At 44.2% G+C, this 16653-nt stretch overlaps 1 protein-coding gene across 4 annotated transcripts in view, besides 2 other annotated features; it reads right to left on the minus strand.

Annotated features, from left to right (window-relative positions):
- Positions 1 to 16653, minus strand: part of CSF1R (colony stimulating factor 1 receptor) — a 60071-nt gene that overhangs the window by 42472 nt on the left and 946 nt on the right. The gene's annotated exons all lie outside the window — the stretch shown is intronic.
- Positions 14280 to 14574: a silencer, noted in NCBI's record as "tiled region #12786; HepG2 Repressive non-DNase unmatched - State 22:ReprW". NCBI's record gives its function as "represses a minimal TATA promoter and a strong SV40 promoter by Sharpr-MPRA in HepG2 cells {active_cell/tissue: HepG2}" and the evidence as "EXISTENCE:reporter gene assay evidence [ECO:0000049][PMID:27701403]".
- Positions 15620 to 16132: an enhancer, noted in NCBI's record as "H3K27ac-H3K4me1 hESC enhancer chr5:149490949-149491461 (GRCh37/hg19 assembly coordinates)". NCBI's record gives its function as "activates a minimal SCP1, AML or CMV promoter by ChIP-STARR-seq in primed H9 embryonic stem cells {active_cell/tissue: H9 hESC(primed)}" and the evidence as "EXISTENCE:reporter gene assay evidence [ECO:0000049][PMID:30033119]".

A 16653-nucleotide genomic window follows, 5' to 3' on the forward strand; every position in this document is an offset into this window, starting at 1 on the left:
AAAAAAAAAAAAACAAGAAAAACACAAATTGCAAATATCAAGAATGGAAAGTGGACATCAATACCAACCCTACCAACACTAAAAGAATAATAAGGGAATACTATGAACTACTCTATGCCAACAAATTCACTAAGTTGCATAAAATGGACAAATTATTTGAAAGGTACAAACTGCTAAAATTCTCTTAAGAAGAAATAGATAACATGAACAGTCCTGTATCTATTTTTAAAAACTAAACTTGTAGTTAAAAACCTTCTAACCAAAAACAAACAAAAAAACTCTTCAGGTTCAAGTGGTTTTACTGGCAAATTCTACCAAACAATTAAGAAATAAATAATACTGACCTGGCCCAGTGGCTCATGCCTGTAATCCCAGCACTTTGGGAGACCGAGGCGGGCGGATCATGTGAGGTCAGAAGTTCGAGACCAGCCTGGCCAACATGGTGAAACCCCATCTCTACTAAAAATACAAAAATTAGCCAAGCATGGTGGCAGGCACCTGTAATCCCAGCTACTTGGGAGGCTGAGGTAGGAGAATTGCTTGAACCCGGGAGGCAGAGGTTGCTGTGAGCTGAGATCGTGCCATTGCACTCCAGCCTGGGCAACAAGACTGAAACTCCATCTCAAAAGAAAGAAAGAAAGAAAGAGAGAATACCAATTCTACAAAAACTGTTTAAGAATATAGCATAGGAGAGATGACTTTTTAATTCATTGTATGATACCAGCAGTATCCCAATATCATGACCACACAAAGATATTGCAAGAAAATAAAATTATAGACCAATATCCCTTATGAAAATAGATGCAAAAATTCTGAAGAAAATCTTAGCAAATCAAATTTAAGTATATATAAAAAGGATAATGCATCATGTCCAAGTGGTATTTATTATAAGAGTTAAAGGTTGAAACGTTCAACACTCAAAAATCAAGCACTATAATTTACCATATCAAGATTTTAAAAATCACATAGGCTTCTTAATAGCTGCAGAATAATGCTTTGACAAAATTCAATGTTCATTTCTAAAGGAAATTTCTTCAATATGGTAAAGGGCATCTGTAAAAACCCTACCACTAACATTAAACTTAGTGGTGAAAGATTGTATATTTTCCCTCTAAGATGAGAAACAAGGCAAGGATGTCTGTTCAACATTATACTGAACTATTCAACAGTGTACTGGAGATCCTAGACACTGTAGTAAGGCAAAAAAAGAAATAGACCAGGTGTGGTGACTCACAATGTAAGCTCAGCACTTTGGGGGGCCAACGTAGGAGGATCACCTGAGTCCAGGAGTTTGAGACCAGCCTGGGCAACATAGGCAGACCCTGTCTCTACAAAAAAATTTAAAAAGAACCTAGCATGGTGATGCACACCTATAGTCCTAGCTACTTGGAAGGCTGATCACTTGAGCTCAGGATGTCTAGCCTACAATGAGCAGGGACTATGCCACTGCACTCTAGCCTGGGTGACAAAGTGACACTCAGTCTCAAAAAAAGAAAGGGAAAGAAGGAAGGAAGGAAGGAGAAGGAGAAGGGAAGGGAAAGGGAAAGGGGAAGGGGAAGGAGAAGGGAGGAAGGGAGGTAGGGAAGGAGGAAGAGAGAGAAAGAGAAGGAAAGAAGGAAAAGAAAGGAAAGAAGAAGAAAGAAAGAAAAAAGAAAGAAAGAAAAGAAGAAGAAAGAAAAAAGAAAGAAAGTGAAAGAAAAAGAGTTCAAAAGAAGAAATATAATGGTCTCTGTTTGGAGATGAAATGATTGTCTTCATAGAAAATGCCAAAGAATCTACAAAAAAGTTACTAGAACTGTAAGTAAACTTAGCAAGATCACAGAATACAAGGTCAATATCAAAAATCAGATTAAAAGTGAAATTTATTTTTTACAAATACTATTTACAATAGCACTGAAAAAAACATGAAACACTTAGGTATAAATCTTACTAAATATGTGCAAGATCTGCATACTGTGTACAAAACACTGAGAAAAGAAAATGAATGAGACCTAAATAAATGGTTAGATATACAATGTTTGTGGGTTTGAAGACTCAATATTTTTGAGCATGCTGATTCTTCTCCAGGTTAACCTACAGATTCAACAAAGTGCCAATCAAAATCTCTGCAAGAAGTTTTGTGTAAATTGACAAGCTGATTCTAAAATTTATATGGAAGCATAAAGGAATTAGATTAGCCAAAATAATTTAGGAAAAGAACAAAGTTGAAGCCCTCATACTACCTGGTTGACAGACTCTATAAAGCTATAATATAGTACTGGTGAAAGGATAGACATGTACATCAATGGAACAGAATAGAGTCCAGAAATAGAACTGCACATATGTGGCCAATTGATTTTTGACAAAGTTGCAAAAGTAATTAAATGAATAAAGAATAGGCATTCCAAAAAGTGGTACTGGAACAACTGGCTATCCACATGCAAAAAGAAAAAAATAAAAATCAAACAAACATAGAAAACATTGATCTCTAACTTAAGCCTTATACAAAATTATCTCAAAATGGATCAAAGACCTAAATGCAAAACCATACAACTATTACAAGAAATAGAGAAAATCTTTGTGACCTTGAGGGTTATGGAAAGATTTCTTAAACACAACATTTAAAAAGATCCATATAATCCATAAAAGAAAAAAAAATAGGCTGTCTGAGTGCAGTGGTGTTTACAACAAATTGATCACAACCAGTTACAGGTTTCTTTGTTCCTTCTCCACTCCCACTGTTTCACTTGGCTTACCTTAAAAAGTAAATCTATAAATTGGACTTCATCAACATTTAAAACTTCTACTCTTTTAAATAGATGGTTAAAAGACAAAATACAGACCAAGAGAGAATATTCAACATTGCATATCTTATAAAGGACTTATATCAAGAGTATATAAAGAACTTTCAATACTCAATATGAAAATAAATGATTCAGTAAAAACAAGGAAAACATTGAACAAATAATATATATAAATGATAAGATAATTTGCCATATAAAAGATGCTCAATATCAATATTTGTTAGGAAAATACAAACTAAAACCACAATGAAATACCACTACATACTTAATTAAATGGCTAAAACCAAAAATCAGAAAACCTGACAGTTTCAAGTGCTGATAAGGATGAGAATACAAACAACTTTTTTTTTTTTTTTTTTTTGAGATAGAGTCTTGCTCTTGTCACCCAGGCTATAGTGCAGTGGGATGATCTTGGCTCACTGCAACCTCCACCTCCCAGGTTCAAGCGATTCTCCTGCCTCAACCTCCCAAGTAGCTGGGATTGCAGGTGCCCGCCACCACACCCAGCTAATTTTTTTTTTTTTTTTTTTTGTATTTTTAGGAGAGACATGTTTCACCATGTTGGCCAAGCTGATCTCAAACTCTTGACCTCAGATGATCTGCCCACCTCGGCCTCCCAAAGTGCTGGGATTACAGGCGTGAGCCACCGTGCCTGGCCACGAACAACTATTAATAGAACTCTCATATATGTATTGGTAGTCAGGATGCAAAAGAGCTACCACTTTGGAAATCAGTCTGGCAGTATCTTATAAAGTTAAAAAGGAAACTTTTACCATAATTCATAACTTTAAAAAGAAAACTCCTACCATAATTGAGTAATCCTACTCCTAGGCATTCCAAGTAAAATGGAAATTGATGTTCACAAAAGGCCCTCTAAGCAAATGTTTTAGTGGCTTTATTTGTAATCAGCTCAAACTGGAAACAACTCAAATGTCCCTTAGCTGTTAAATGGATAAATAAACTGTGGTATATCCATACAATAGAACGCTACTCAGCAATTAAGTGGAACAAACTTCTGATGTACACAACGATGTGGATGACTCTCAAATTCTTTATGCTAAGTGAAAGAAGCCAGATTCAAAAGGCTTCATACTCTTTGATCTTACTCATATGACACTCTTGTAAACAGATAGAAAATAGATCATTGGCTGCCAGGGGCTGGAGATGGAGGGAGGGCTTCAAAGAACCGGCAGGGGGGTGGGGGGTTGGGGAATTTTTTGGTGATGGAAATATAGCTTCATTGTGACAATGATAAACATGACTATATACATTTGTCAAAAGTAGCAGAATTGTAGACTAAAAAGGGTCCATTTTATTGTGTGTAAATTAAATTTTCATAAAACAATGGGAAAAAAATGTAAAGGGCCAGGAATAACCAAGACAGTCTTAAAGAAAATGAAAAAAGGGAAGTCTTTCTATAATAGATATCAAGAAATATTATAAAGATAGTTAAGACAGTTTGATGTTGGCTCACAGATAGACAAATAGACTGGTGGTACAAAATAAAGATCGTAGTATCTGGGCACTGTGGGACGCACCCGTGCCAGTTATCCAGGAGGCTGAGGCAGGAGGATCCCTTGAGCCCAGAAGTTCGAGTCCAGCCTGGACAACATAGTGAGAGCCCATCTCTTAAAAAAAAATTCCTAGATATGGATCATATGGACACTTGACAGATGATAGAACCAGTGGGGATGGGGGAGGGAAAGACAGTTTTAAGTGAACCTAAGATCATTGGCTAACCTTTTTTTTTTTTTTTTTTTTTTTCTGAGACGGAGTCTTGCTCTGTCACCCAGGTTGGAGTACAGTGGCCCAATCTCGGCTCACTGCAACCTCCGCCTCCCGGGTTCACGCCATTCTCCTGCCTCAGCCTCCCGAGTAGCTGGGACTAAAGGCACCCGCCACCACGCCCAGCTAATTTCTTGTATTTTTAGTGGAGACGGGCTTTCACCGTGTGGCTAACCATTATTTTTTAAAAGTACTGTTCATTTCCGGCTATACAACATATACAGAAATGAACTCCCTTACCAAGTGTTGGCTAAGATTTGGAGCAACAGGAAATCTCATACACTGCTGGTAAGGGTATAAATTGATACAACCACTTGGGAAAACAGTTTAGCATTATTTACTTAGATTGACGAAAATGCAATATCTTACCATCCAACAAATTCTACTCCCTGGCAGGCATACGTGCAATAGAAATGTGTGCACAAGTGTACTAAGATACATAGCAGCATTTGTCATAATAGCTCAAACTGGAAAAAAAAATGAAATATCCATCAATAATAGAATAGTAAAAAGTAGTATTTATATAATAGTATAATATAAACCAAATAAACAAGTGAAATACAGCTACGCACAATTATACGCATGCTTGGTTACATGGTGGCAAATGCCTTCTCCCATTCTGTGGTTTGTCTCTCCCCTCTTTATGGTATCCAAAGGAGATCGCATGAATGGTCCCAATTCTTCATTCCTTTCAGTACCCGATCTCTTTGCCATGTGACTTAGCAGTTGCTCTCAGAAAAAAAAAAAAAAGGTGATACCTATTTCTCCACCCCTTGAATCTGGGCTTGGTCGTGCAGGTGCTGCTTTGGCCTATAGAATGAGATGGAAGTGAGGGTGTTCCAGTTTCAAGCCTAGGCCACAAGAGGCATTGCATGTTTCTCCTTGCCTGCGGATGCTGCTAACATCACTATGAGAAAGACGCGCCTGAGCTGGCATGGCTAAGGTATCCTAGCCAAGGCTAGATTAAAGCAGAGTCCCCAGTTGCCCCAGATGCATGAGAAAACCCTAGCAATCCAGCCAGATCAGCTGAATACTGTAGATGAGAGAGAAATACGTGTTTATTGGTATATGTCACTGCAGCTTTGTAGGGTTGTTTGCTATGCAACAACAGCTAACTGATAGAGTGAGCTAAGGGAAGAGGTAGGCCTGGGAAGGTTGGATTTTGCCAGGCAGAGGCAGGGAAGAGAAAGAAGGGCATCTGAAAAGAAATGAACAGCAAAGGCAATCAGCAGGTCCACCAGTCTGCCACCAGCCGTCACGGGACCCAGGCAGAGAGTGGCGGTGCTGGCAATCCCCTCCCACTCCTTGCTTGCTTTCCTTGCCTTCTTTTTTTTTTTTTTTTAATACTAGTGGTCACTGTAAGATATTCATCCATAAAGAGATACACTGTCCCCATAAATGGAAGGCCCCCCAAACCCTTATTCACCTAATCACAGCCTCTCTCCCCGCCTCAACTGCTTGTAAGAGTGTGTGTATACTCTTCCTAGCATTTGCCTGGGCACAGACGAGCTCATCCATCTGTCCACCCATCCATCCCATCCCTACTTTATAGTTTTAAAAATAGTATCCTATGCTATTTAATCATTCAACACATCTTAGAAATCTTTCCATATTAGTTCATAGAGATTTACCATATTTTTAAAATTGCTTCACTGTATCTCATCGTATGGATGTACCATAATTTATCTCACCATTCCTCTAACAAATGGACACTCTAGTTCCTTCTAATTTTTCTCCATTGCAAACAATGCTCAGTGGACATCCTTGCACATGAATCGTTGTGTAAATACACTCTCATTGGAGCAGGATCCATTCATAGAAGTGGGATCGCCGGGTCAAAGGGTAGGTACGTTAAAACATGGAGATATTGTTAAATTGTTCCCCTAAGAAGGCCGTGAGGATGTGCATTCTCACCAACAGTGTGTGAGAAATGCAGCATCACCGTACACTTGCTGACATGGGATATCACTGATCTTTAAAATTATTCGCAGTCTGGTAGGAAAAAATGTTAATTCGTTGAGGTTTCATGTGCATTTTCTGTATGAGTGATGAAATAAACATTTTTTCCATGTGTGTATTGGCTATTGGTATTTCTTCTACAGATATCCTTTGTCCGTTTTTTTGTCTTTATTGATTCATTGGACTATTTATTTCTTTATTTTTGAGACCGAGTCTCGCTCTATCACGCAGGCTGGAGTGCAGTGGCGCAGTCTTGGCTCACTGCAACCTCTGACTCCCAGGTTCAAGCGATTCTCCTGCCTCAGCCTCCCGAGTAGCTGGGATTACAGGCGCCCACCACCACGGCCAATTAATTTTTGTATTTTTACTAGAAGTGGGGTTTCACCATGTTGACCAGGCTGGTCTCGAACTCCAGACCTCAAGTGATCTGCATGCCTTGGTCTCCCAAAGTGCTGGGATTATAGGCATGAGCCACTGCACCCAGCTTATTGAACTATTCGTTATCTGTATTATGTCTGCTAACCCAATTATCAGAAATGCTGAAAATATTTTCCATCAGTTTGCCACTTCTCTGCTAATGTTCTTTTGGTTTGTGTATTCACACAGAAGTTTTTACTGTGTGTAGTCAAATCTGTTGTCTTTTCATTTCTGACTTCTGGGTTTCATGTTTTGTTTAGGAAGGCTGAGCCATTTATTGTTTACGAGGCACTTTCATTTCCATTTTCTCATACAGGCCTGGGTCACAGGCAATCAGTGAAGTGCATAGCTCTATTGCATAGATAAGAAAAAGGAAGGTCAAGGAGGGTTTGTGACTTATCTCAGCTCACACAGCTACTTTGGGGAAGACTCAGAGCCAGAATCCGAATTTTCTGAGTCGAAGGCCTAGGTAGCTGGGCGCCACTCCCCACTACTTGGATTGTCTGGCCAATACCATTCCCTGTGCCCCTTGGCGCATTTCTGACAGGTCACCTGCATCCATCTGTTGTGGGAAGCAGTTAGCCCATGCTTCCCTATCTGGCCCAGATCTGCCTCTCTGTGACACCCACCTGTTGCTCTGGACCCTCAGGCAGCTCTGTTCCCTGTCCCTCGACAGGCCTCCAGTGATGCAGACAGCACTTGTGGTCCCCGGAGGTACTACTTCTCCAGGGTGAGCACTCTGGTTTCTTAGTAGTCTTTCCTGGGACATGGTCTCCAAGCACATCTGGCCTCCCTTACTCTCATCAGATCAACAACATGCAAGGTCATCAATGTGACATTAACTTCTTAAAGTCCAACACATTTGGAAGCAAGCCCCTAAGTGTTGTAACATAAGCACAATCAGATGGCGCTGGGGAACAGAAGATGGAGAGTCTGTGAGGCCTTCCAGAGCAGTGGCATTGGAGCTGGGCCTTGAAGGAGGAGCAGCAACCCTTCAGGCAGAAAGGAAATCCCAGGAGAGGGAATAGCATAGGGGCAGAGAGGGTGAAAAATCAGGACTCTCTGGGGCCAACCAGAGTGTGAAGGAATGGAGTGGAGATGGGAGTAGAAAGGGGGTGAGGTCCAAGTACTAAGAGTACCTGACAACCTGGCAGGGTGCCAGGGCTTGATCCTATAGGCCATGGGTCCTTAATGGCCTGGAGGCCTCTAGAGGGGTGCACCTCCAAGTGCAGTTCAGGGACCCCAGCCTCAGAATCACAGGGGTAACTGTTAAAATGAAGACTCCAGGACCATCCCAGGCCTGCTGACTTAGGGGTGGGAGGGGGGTACCTGCACAGGTAACAAGCTCTCTAGCGGATTCTCATGCTCCCTCTGGCTGAGGCCACTGCCTTTGAGAGTCCCTGGATGGCCTTGAGGAAACCTGGGCACCCCTAACACGGATGCAAAGTTTGTGTGTGATCTTGCCCAGCTTTCATGCAATTCTCACCAAGTCCCTGACCCAGGCTGGCAGAGACCCCTCTCTGGTGGAACATGTTTAGGTGGAGGAGGGGTATAACCAGCAAGAGGGGTGGAGGCTACAGTAGTCCTGAGGGATGGCCTAGGCCACCTTGGCAGGACCTGTCTCTGTCCCCACGATCAAAGGATGCTGCTTGTCCTGTCATTTCTATCCATCCAGCTAATTCCTATAGCTCCTTCAGACTCGCTGCCTCCTGGAAGCCTCCCTGTTCCTGCCAGATGGGCAGGTATCCTTATTATGCATCCCAGGCCTTTTGGGCTCAACCGCATCCCAGCATTTTCCTTGCATGGCAGGCTTCAAAGGTTTATCAGGTGCTCACTATGTGAAAGGCAGCACGCCCAGTGCTCTTTGGAATTTTCTCATTGAATCCTCAACTCTAGAGGTAGGTGTGGTTATTATCCTTGTTTTACTGAAGAGCAAACCAAGGCTCAGAGAAGTTAAGTCACTTTCCCAAGATCACACAGCTGGTGAGGGCATTTCTGCCTCCTATGGTACAGGTATACCTGACCATTCTGATCCACTGATTTTAGATGTATGAAGAGTGAATGAATTAATGAATGAATGCTGTATGCCAAAGCCCCGTGAGTAGGAAGGTACTCTGTCCTCCTGGAAAAAATGGCATTTAGAGGCCTAATCCTTACTCTTTTGTTCATTTGTTCTTTTTTTTTTTGAGATGGAGTTTCATTCTGTCACCCAGGCTGGAGTGCAGTGGCGTGATCTCAGCTCACTGCAACCTCCACCTCCTGGGTTCAAGTGATTCTCTTGCCTCAGCCTCCTGAGTAGCTGGGACTATAGGCACCCACCACCACGCCCAGCTAATTTTTTAATATTTTTGACAGAGGCTGGGTGCAGTGGCTCACACCTATAATCCCAGCACTTTGGGAGGCCCAGGCAGGTGGATCACGAGATCAGGAGATGGAGACCAGCCTGGCTAACACAGTGAAACCCTGTCTCTCCTAAAAATACAAAACATCAGCCAGGCGTGGTGGCACGTGGCTGTAGTCCCAGCTGCTCAGGAGGCTGAGGCAGGAGAATCACTTGAACCCAGGAGGCGGAGGTTGCAGTGAGCCAACATTGTGCCACTGCACTCCAGCCTGGGTGACAGAGAGAGACTCTGTCTCAAAAAAAAAAAAAAAAATATATATATATATATATATATTTTTTTTTTTTTAATAGAGGCGGGGTTACCATGTTGGCGAGGCTGATCTCGAACTCCTGACCTCAAGTGATCTGCCCGTTTTGGCTTCCCAAAATGCTGGGGTTACAGGCGTGAGCCACTACACCTGGCCTCTTTTTTTTCTTTTTCCCTTTTTTTATAGGCAAGTCTCATTCTGTTGCCAGGCTAGAGTACAGTGTCAGAGTTACAGCTCACTGAAGCCTCAAACTCCTGGGCTCAAGCAATCCTCCTGCCTCAGCCTCCTGAGTAGTTAGGACTACAGGCACACACCGCCCACTTGACTAATTTTCTATTTCTTTTTGTTGAGACAGGGTCTCACTGTGTTGCTCCAGCTGGTCTCAAACTCCTCCTGGCATCAAGCGATCCTCCTGCCTTGGCTTCCCAAAGGGCTGAGATTACATGTGTGAGCCACCACACTGGACTCCCTAATATTTTCTGAGTGCTGTTTATGTGCCAGGCACCACAGCAGGCTCTTTCCATATTTATCTAATTTAGTGCTTTTAACACATGAGGCTGATTCTATTAATTACGCCATTTTGCCGATGAGGAAACCAAGGCTCAGAGAGGTTAGTTCACTTGCCCAAAGTCCCAGAGCCAGGGAATGACAGAGCTGAGACTGGAAGCAGGCAGCCTGGCTGCAGAGCCTACGCTAATGACCAGCACACTGCACAGGGCGATCCTGACCTCCCCCAGCAGTGGGTGTGCTGACCGCTAGTGGACACAGAGTGGGGAAGTGCCATGGGACTCAGTGGGGTAAGCCCTGACTGAGGAAGCCTTGGTGATGCTGCCGGGAAGGTGACAAACAAGAATCCCAGATTGACATTACCCCTTCCTGTGGCAGAGGAACTTTGAGAGGAGTTTGCATGACAGCCCAAGGATTAGGAAACTCTGAAGAAATGTGTGGGCCATGTCACACTTCACATACTGAGAGCCTAGTTTTCATCTCCCTGCCTGACTCCTGGACCCTGGAACCTCCAGACCCCAGGTCAAGGACAGCTTAGCCCCCACCCTCCTGCCCAGTTAACCCCAACTGCAGCCCATGCCCTGGGACCCAGGAGGTTCCCCACCAGAGAGTGGAGTGGGCCCAAGCTAGGAGCCAGGGACCCAGACAGAATAATGGCAATTTGGCAACTGGTTCCTCTTTGACCCTGGACCACAAAGGTTCGACCACACCTATCTCTAGGCCTGAGGATTGAGCTCTAGTGTCTGAATTGGAGTACTATGGGGTATTTGCTCCCATTACTATTGCAGCTCCATAGAGCAGATCAAGGCCATACCCTGTAGCAGGGCTTACAGGGGCCTTTGCAATCTGATCTCTGCCTCTTCTCTCTCCATCCACCCTCCCTGCTGTACTGAACACTTGCAGCTCCTGCATACACCCCCACACTCCTTCTTCCTGTTCCACATACTTCTGCTTCCACCTGGCCCATAAGCCTCCCTTTGCCTGACTGAGTCCCTGTCTTATAGTCTCTCGTGGCTCCCTGAGTTTCCTGGCACTTCTCGCTGTCAACAGAAGCACAGTTATGAGAGTGGTTATTGGTGTGATGTCATTCTGACCCCTTTGTTCTGCAGCAGGAGTTTCCTGGTAGGGCCAGTCTCCCTTCCGGTCTTCTTTATACCCTCTACACCTGGCCCTGCCTGGCAGATGAGTGCTCAGTCAATGCCAGATGCATGAAGAAATGTATAAACAATCCAATGAATGAATGAATAAATGAAGAGCAAGGAGAAGCTCTCCACCCTCCAAAAGCAATTTATTCAGCAAATGCTTCATGTGTCAGGCCTTGTTCTGGGCCCAGGAAGGCCAAGGCTCAGAGCACTTTCCTGCATGCAGGGACCTCACCGCCTGGTGGGAGGTAAGGCAAGTAGCTAAGTGGTGTTATACAGTGCAGCTGATAATATCTGACATCTATGGACATTAACATGATTTGTCATCCAATTTGGAACCTTTGAGACTGGAAGGGGTGCTATTAATAATTGCATTAACACAGGGGCATGAAGAAGGACTGTTCTGGTTGATCCATTGGGCACACTCTTCATGCCAGTCTCTGGACTGAGCTATTTGCACAGATCATCTCATTGATTCTCCCAGCCACCTTAGGGGAAAGCTGTAATTACTCCATGTTACAGATGAAGAAAGACAGGCTCAAAGATGGTAAGTAACCTGCCTGGAGTTAAACAGCTAAGTGGCAGAGCTGGGTTTTAAACCCTGGAACCCAGAGCCAGAGCCCACATGTTCAACCACTGTCTTTCATCAATGGCAGGGGCTCTCAGGAGGATCGAGGGTAAAGGGGAACAGCCTAGGCTTTGGAGCCAGATAGACCAGGAATTCATTCCCCACTCCTAACCACAGCCAGGTCCCCGGCCTTTCAAGGCCTTGTTTCTTCATTATGTAAAATGGGGAAGGGGCTATTGACTCAGATCCAGTGAGACAATAATGCAGGTGAAGGGCATGCAACAGATATTTCTCAATCACTGTCCCTGGCCCTGGGGACATGGTGGTGAACAGGTCAGCTGTGGTCCCTCCCTTCTGCAACTCACAGCCTATTGTCAGAGCCAGGAGAGGAACCAGGCCACTGGGGGAGTTGCAAGATGTCCTGGGATCACCGGAGAGAAGAGTCAAGGAAGGCCCTATCTGAGTTGAGAGGAAGTGAGAAGGGTGAGGAGTTGGGGGAGAGATACAGGGAGGAGGAAGGAATGTTCCAAGAAGGAGAAACAGCACAGTAAAGGCCTGGAGGCGTAAGAGTGCACAGGGTATGGGAGGCTAAGAATGCTGAACAGATGTGAGGGCCCATAAGAGGCACAGACAAAGGAATGCGAAGAGAAATCATTTTCAGCTGAAGAATGAGGAAAGCTTCTTGGAGAAAGTAGCTTTTGCTGGGCTGGAAGCTTGAGCAAGACTTTGACCTTCAGCTATAAAAGACTGGGCATTCTAGGTGGTGACGGTAGCACCAAAAAAAGGGGCAGAGGTCAGGAAGCTAGTGGCCCACACAAGGTGGATGGACCTTGGAGGGCAGATGTGGGAGAGGCAGTAGGAGAGGTTGGAATCAGATCAGGGAGGGCCTTAAAGATTCCATGAAGGAGTCTCGACTTTGCTGGGCCACGGGGAGCCACTGAAGATGTTTGAGCAAGGGAACACCAAGACCATCACTATGCTTCAGGAAGATCAAGAATGAAAAAGAAAAATTTTCAGATGTGGAAGCTTCCCTCTTGTCTCTTCAGAGGGGAAAAAAGGGACTTAGAATTCTGTGATTTTCCAGAAACTGTGTTACTTCCCCATGTTTGTGACTTTTCTAGTTCCTGCAGTGAAGACCCACAAAATCTAAAACCAGAGACTGTGGATCTGCAAAGGGGAGCTGGGCAAGGGCAGCCTGCTGTGAAGCCCTGCAGGAGAAGGCGAGGAGCCCTGAGCAGGTGGGGGGTGGGAGCTGCTGGAGAGGGCAGACCTGTATGCCAAGAACATGTGGGTGAGGGAAGAGCCAGCTGGGAGGGGGTGGTACAGGGAGACAGTTCGGCTTCTGTGATGTCCCCAGGTCCCTGCCCCAGGCCAATGGTCCCTCGCCAGACCCCTACACAGTGGTGGCAGATTTTCTTCCAAGCTGTGGGAAACTTTCATGGCCCAGAGCGGCCCCAGAACCCCATCCCAAGGAGAAGCCCGCCCCCCCCCCACCACCCAAGAAATTCCAGGAGCCACATTCTGTGTAGGCAGCTGGCCCCTGACCCCAGGGCTCAGCCTGCTGGCCACTCTGAGATCTGGAACTGGACCTAGACACCCCCGGGGAAGGTAGGAGCAGGGAGGCTGGAAGGCAAGAGCCTCCCTGCAGTGACTGTAGCCAAGCCACTTGATGGCTCTGAGCCTCAACCTCCTCATCTGGAGGCTCCTCTCACAGGCTAATCGTGAGGATCCGATGGGACCACTGGTAGGAGCACACCCTACACCATGAGGGACTGGGGCAGAGCAGGGCGGTGAGGGAAGGCTGGGTTTCCCGACGGGTGGGATGCCCTGTCTAGATGTGGGATGATGGATTAGTAGAGCTGCAGCAGCACTGAATGGCACTGTGGGAAGCTTCCTGCCTTGCCAAGTCCTCTGGGTGTTTCTGGTTATGCCAAGGAGAATGTTTCAGCTTGGCGCATTTCTGTCTTCAACTCTTCTCTGTCACCCACTTATGACTTTTCTCAATAAACCAAAGAGGGTCCATACTTCCTCCACCAGTCCAGAGTACTTAGCTAGAATTAAATAACGTTGTTTCTGTTGTTTGTATGTTTGATTTTCTCAGCCGCCCAGGGCACTATATGTACTTAAAAGGGAATTTTTAGACTTCAGTGACATTTTAAATGTTTATTCTCTTTACTCAACAACTCAATGTCTAGGAATTTATGCTATGGAAACAAATACTTAAATATGCAAAAACAAACATATTTTATAAATAATGGCCATTGTAGCATAACTTATAACTCTAAAAAATGGGAAATAGTCCAAATGCCCCTCAGTAGGAGATTGGTGTTAAATATAGTGAACCCCAAGTTTCTCTTCAAAGAATCAGTATGTCAATATGTTCAGCTCTCTTATTCTTTGATTCTCCATTTTAAAGTTTAACTTCCTGGATCTCTTCGCCCCCTTGCTTCTGGTTTCAGTAAACAACTTTCCCACCAGTCCTAATCAGTTCACATCTGTTCCCCTGGTCACCTGCTTTGACCTGAGTCACCTGCTCCATCCTGACTCATCCTGAGCCACCTGTTCGTATCCACCTTTCCCACCAAACTACTCACCCCGGCACTCCAGCTCATGCTCCTGCTCTTTTTTTTCAAATAGCCAATTGGAATTAGCTTAGACTATGCGGTCCAACCCTAGCCAATAGGGGAACAATGCAGCAGTAGAGGCTGCCTGTGTCAGGAATAAGAACCTCTTCCCCTCCCCTGTCAAGGTGTGCTCTCGCCATTGTTCCATCTGCCAGGAGCACCCTCTCTGCAGAAAGTAAAAATTGCCTTGCTGAGGAAATTAAATTTATGTTCGAGTGCTATTTCTTTGTGGCACTGGGGAACAAGCATTTTGCATTTCTGACATTGGTTAAATAATGTCTGGCACAGGCTTGCTTTTAAACTATGTGCATCTCTCAAAATGAATGCATTAATATCTGTATTTCCCATGGACCTATGAGTATGCCCATGATATATTGTTAAGTGAAAAACAAAAAGTTGCACAATGACAAATGGGAGTTTTGTTGAAGATTATAGCTATATTCTATGTAGATAGGTACAGATACAAATATTAGTATGGATATAAAGAAAACAACTTTGAAAAATATAACTAAACTATTTATAGTGAGAGGCAGAATTTCAACAAGATAAATTTGTACCACAGAGTTGCTGAATAAAGAGAATAAAGATTTAAAATGTTACTGCATTTAACATATAAAAATACTCAAAGAAGACCTTCTCTTTCTATATTATGTATTTTGGTAATGGATTTTTAAATACAGGCATATATGACATAAATACTTGTATCAAGTAGTTTTTTTTTTTTTGTCAGATCACAGGACCTTATTAAGATGGAATCACTGCTAATTACATAGAAGCCACTTGCCTAAGCCAGAATCCATGAGGTTCACGTGAAGTTATAGTTGCACAAATTAGAAACAAAAGGCATATTCAAAGACAGAAGGAAATATCCTGATGCCCATTAAAAATAATTTTTAATTGCAAAACCGAACATTATAACTAAAATAAAAGGGGCCTGTTAGAGACGGTGCCCTGATTCAAAGAAGAAGGGACGTGAATGGGAGCTGTGAGACCCTCATCAGCTGCAGGTCAGGGCCCCGGCAGAAATAGCTCCTTTCAGTCTTTCCCTCTTTTTCCAGGAACAAGAACCCCGGCCGTGAGTGGGGTGGCGGAAGAATTGTGCAGTCCAAGTGGCTCATCTGTCTGGGAGGAAAATCCCAGCTCACCCGTCTTCCCTGGGCCCGCCTGAGGGGAGAGACTGGGAGGCAGGAGCCCAGCAGGGGCTGACCTGTGGTTACCCCAGACCCTGCCTGCCCTCTGCACAGGGGCCTGAGAGGCCCAAGCCCTCCCACAAATGAGTTTTTATTATTTTTCTCTAGCTCTCAGATGATGTTAGCTTTCCTTTCTCATCCAGTCCTTTCCTATCCTTTCTCTTGGGGAAACACAGTACCAGAAGGTCTGGAGACAGAAGATAGGAGTTTTGTCGCAGGCTTCCCCAGTCCCTAGCTCTGCAAATTTGGGTGGGTGCTTTACCTCCCTGAGTGCTGACTTGGGAGTCAGTCTGACCTGGGCTCCTCTCCCATCCCTGCCACACTGACCAGATGATCTTGGGCAAGTCACTTCAAAACCTCCCTGAATGCACATTTGATTTGGTTTGAATGCAAATCAAAATTGTGAAAATAAAATAAAATTTCAGGAGCTCCCCAATTCATTATGCCAATGGGAAAAGTTAAGCCCTGGAAACTGAGTCACATCACAGGACTGCTCTCTGACCATTGCCTCTTGATTTTTGTGTTGAGAATGTTATACTTTAACCGGGCTCCCCATTCTTTATTCAAACCTGGACTAAATGACACGCTGGTGATCATTACCTCTTTACAAATGAGTGTTAAGCAGCCCCCTTAAAGTGTAGTCAATAGTAGCCAATCAAATCTTGTAGCTCTACGTTAACCTTTGTATGGAAAATGTAATTGTGTTACCCACCCGTTTCTGGCTATATAAACCATCCTCACCTTGCCCCACACAGGGAAGCACTGATCACCATTCTCTGGTTTTCCTGTTTCCTGACGACTACCCTCACACTTTGCCCTTGAATAAACTTCTTTAACTAGAAAAACAAAAACAAACAAAACAACAACAGCTTGGACTGGTGTCTCATCTGTAACATGGGATAATAGTAGGACTCAGGTCACTGGGCTTTTGGGAGGGTAAAATGAGCTAATGTGTGTGAAGCAACCAGACAGCCCTGGGGCATAGTAACTGTTGGATAGTGGTAGTCAGATTTTTATCAACCTTTGTCT

The sequence above is a fragment of the Homo sapiens genome, chromosome 5 (genome assembly GCF_000001405.40).
Source record: "Homo sapiens chromosome 5, GRCh38.p14 Primary Assembly".
Lineage (NCBI taxonomy): Eukaryota > Metazoa > Chordata > Mammalia > Primates > Hominidae > Homo > Homo sapiens.